The following is a 4,056-nucleotide window of genomic DNA, read 5'->3' as shown; positions in this document are numbered from 1 at the left end:
TTCAATATTTCAAAATCAATCAATGTAATCCATCATGTTAACATGCTAAAGAAGAAAAATCACATCAAAAATCATGTCAAACCATAAAAAATCCTGTCAATCAATGCAAAAAAATCAACAAAATTAACACCTATTCCTGATGGAAAGTCTAAAAAAAAATTAAAAAAAGAAACAAGCAAAAAGGAGAGGGCATAGAGGGAAACTTCCTCAACTTGATAAAGAGCATCTACACAGACTTTTGGCTAACAACATACTCAACAATGAAAGACTGCATGCTTTCCCCCTAAAATCAAAACAAAGTAAAGATGTCTGCTAGTACCACTCTTATTCAACATAATGCTGGAAGTTCTAGCCAGTTCACTAAGATAAGAGAAGAAAATAAAAGGCATATGGGTAGGAAAGAAAGAAATAAAATGCCCCTGCTTATATATGATGTGATTGTCTACCTAGAAAATCCCAAGAATACATTAAAAACTCCTAGAACTAATAAGTGAGTCTTCAGCAAGGTTGCAACATACAAGATAAACATACAAGATAAAAAATCAATTGTATTTCTACATATTGGCAATGAACATGTGGACTCTGAAATTTAAAATAGTATCATTTACAATTACAATACTAAGAAGAAAAAAGAAATAGGTATAAATCTAACAAAACATGTATAGGTTTTGTATGACAAAAACTACACAACACTGATGAAGGAAAGTTTGTAAAAATCTAAATAAATGGAGAGGCATATCGTGTTTATGGATTGGAAAACTTAATATAGTAAAGAAGTCAATTCTTCCCAAACTAATGTACACCTTTAACACAATTCTTGTCAAAATCCTAGCGTGATTTTTTATAGATGCAGGCAATATTATTTTTAAATGTATATGGAAAGACAAAGGAACTAGAATAGCTTAAAAATCTTGAAAAAAGAAGAATATTGGGAGGAATCAGTCTAACCAATTTTAAAACTTACAATGTAGCTACAATAATCAAGATTGTGTGGTATTGGCAGAGTGATAGACACAGAATAATGGGACAGAATAGAGAACAGGAAATAGGCCCACCCAAATACACCCAACTGATTATTGACAAAGGTGCAAAACCAATTCAATGAGGAAAGATGGCCTTTTCAACAAATGATTGTTGGAGCAATTGGTCATCCATAGGAAAAAAAAATAAACTTTAACTTAAGTACCATAGCTCATAAAAAATAAACTCAAAGTGGATCCTGGGTTTATGTACTTACTAATTCATGTACATTTTTGAGATAAGGTCTCACTCTGTTGCCCACGCTGGAGTGCAGTGGTGCAATCATAGCTCACTGTAGCCTTGACCTCCTGTACTCAAGCAACCCTCCGACCCTCCGACCTCAGCCTTCCAAGTAGCTGAGACTTCACAGGTAACTTTTTTTTTTTTAGAGGCCAAGCCTCACTATGCTGCCCAGGCTGGTCTCAAACTCCTGGATTTAAGCAATCCTCCTGCCTTGGCCTCCCAAAGTGCTGGGATTACAGGTGTGAGCCACTGTGCCTGGGTGATCCTGGGTTTAAATGTGGAAAGTAAAACTATAAAACTTAAAAAAACAAAACAAAACTGGAGAACATATTCTTTGGGACGTAGGACTAGCCAAAGAATTCTTAGACTTGACACCCAAAGCATGATCTATTAAATGACATAGATTCTCGGCTTTCCTTCTCCCTCAATCCCTCGCGCTCTTCCTTTCCAACTTGGACCCGGCAGAATGGCTCCCGCAAAGAAGGGTGGCAAGAATAAAAGGGCCGTTCTGCCATCAACGAGGTGGTGACCCGAGAATACACCATCAACATTCACAAGCACATCCATGGAGTGGGCTTCAAGAAGTGTGCCCCTCGGGCACTCAAAGAGCTTCGGAAATTTGGCATGAAGGAGATGGGAACTCCAGATGCGCGCATTGATATCAGGCTCAACAAAGCTGTCTGGGCCAAAGGAATAAGAATGTCCCATACCGAATCCGTGTGCGGCTGTCCCGAAAACGTAATGAGGATGAAGATTCACCAAATAAGCTCTATACTTTGGTTACCTATGTACCTGTTGCCACTTTTGAAAATCTACAGTCAATGTGGATGAGAACTAATCGCTGATCGTCAAATACATCAAATAAAGTTATAAAATTGCCTTCAAAAAAAAAAAGACATAGGTTCTCGTTGGATATGTAGAAATCGCAGATTGAAGAGTTTAATTATTTGGCTAACAACAGTTACAGAAATGTATGCTACAATGTGTTTGACAAGTCTTAAGTAATCTTGTTGAGATAACAATTTGTATAATTTAAATTATCTGTTGAAATTGTGGTTTTCAGCAAAAATAGAAAAATTAAGGAACATTTCATTCCAGTGGGCACAGGAGTACAGTAAACAGAGAGACTAGTGTGGTAGGGAAAATATATACTTTTTTTTGTATTATTCAAGACTAAGAATGTTACAAAATAGAAGAGATTACAATGTACAAGATTGCAAACAGAAGGAAGATGTGATCAAACAATCAAAAACTAATTCTGTGAAAAGACCAATAAAAAAGACTTCTGACAAGCCTAATTAAGATAAACAGAGATATAAAGATGTCTCTTTTATTTAACCATTTAACATTATTTTTGTCTAATATCTAAGAAGTAACATTGGGATAACCACAAATCTTGGTCATGTTGTTATAGAAAATTGGGTAATAGGGAATTGAGTTTATTTCCCTAAAGAAAGGAATGCTAATGAAAAGCAAGCTAATTTTCCTGGAAGATCTTAGAAAAAGTCCAGGAATTTGGAGGAATCATGTACAACAAAATATATGGTTAAAGAATGATTCTAAAAATGAGAGGATAATTGTAAACTCTGTATAAGGAGAAGTTAGACTCTTAGGGCCTCTCTCCTACCCAGGGTGACTATTTGCAGGTGACTAATTTTTCCCTGTCATAGTTTAATTCTCAGGAGAAATTGACCCAGCCAGCAGCTGCAGGTGAATTCAGGTGAGTTGAGTGAGTATGAGGTGAGGCATTATGGCCTCCACTATATCACCTGCAAACCCTTTCTCAGGATGCCCTGGCAAACATGCTGCAGCCACACAAGGAAGAAACCAAGAAATAGGAAGACATAAGATTCAGGAAACAGGATTTCATATAAAAGATAGAGAAGTCCTAGGACAACAGCTGTGCAAGAGGTCCAGAGATCAAATGACCGAAAACAGTGTCAAAAAAGGAGGGACATCTTGCTAATGGAAAAAAAAAAAAGAAGGAAGAAAAACTGAAAAGCTACATGGTGCATTTGACTACTATGGAAAATAGTATTAAGCTGCTTTAGAACTTTTTTTAAATCTTTGGAAAAGCTAATAAACACATAGACAACTAAAAAATATATGAAAATGAGGCATTTATTATATCTAGAGGAAAAAAAGATTGTTCAAGAAGGGAAATATAAGCAGACAACACTATTTGTCTCAGCAACAAGGAGTAATCATAAATTGTGATAAAGCTATGTTGGAGCACATGGTAGGAAAAGTGGGAAGTAAGTAAGCACGGTATAATAAGAATAGTCCTTGTATTCTATAGTAGGAAATCAAATAGATAATGTCTAATATTGAAAAATCAAGAAATAGCAGCGTATTGTCTTGTTTGGAAATATGGAGGTAAATTAGCAGAAGACATAGTTGAAAGAATTGAACATGGTTGCCTCTGAGAAGTAGAGCTGAGATGTGAGGGAAGGGGCAATAAACAGCTATTTCTTGTTATATGCCTTCTATTCCATTATACTATGTAAACTAAGGGTGTGTGTTGCCATAATAAAAAACAAAACTTTATTTTAAAATGAAAGAAAATATTGTCTTCATACATATACTTAAAGATACTCACATACAGAAAAATCATACAGACCACATTTACTGACCGTCCCGCAATAAAATAGAAAACAAAAAAGGTAGCGCTCATTTCTCTTGAACAAAACAAACACAACAAAACGCCCTTCCAAATAAAGTTTGAGTTAAGAAGAAAATAAAACTAAAGTTACAGACTGTTTAGAAACAACAATGACAGGGATACATATATCT

General features: G+C 35.4%; 1 pseudogene across 1 annotated transcript; it reads left to right on the top strand.

Moving 5' to 3' along the window:
- Window positions 1–1,686: 1,686 nt before the first annotated feature.
- RPL31P11 (ribosomal protein L31 pseudogene 11) lies at window positions 1,687–3,244 on the top strand (annotated as a pseudogene). The gene is given in 1 exon segment (NR_002595.1): window positions 1,687–3,244. The product of NR_002595.1 is annotated as a ribosomal protein L31 pseudogene 11 (transcript).
- Window positions 3,245–4,056: the final 812 nt, after the last annotated feature.

The sequence above is a fragment of the Homo sapiens genome, chromosome 1 (assembly GCF_000001405.40).
Source record: "Homo sapiens chromosome 1, GRCh38.p14 Primary Assembly".
Taxonomy (NCBI): domain Eukaryota; kingdom Metazoa; phylum Chordata; class Mammalia; order Primates; family Hominidae; genus Homo; species Homo sapiens.
The sequence above is the reverse complement of the archived record's forward strand: the minus strand, read 5'-3'. Positions and strand labels throughout refer to the sequence as shown.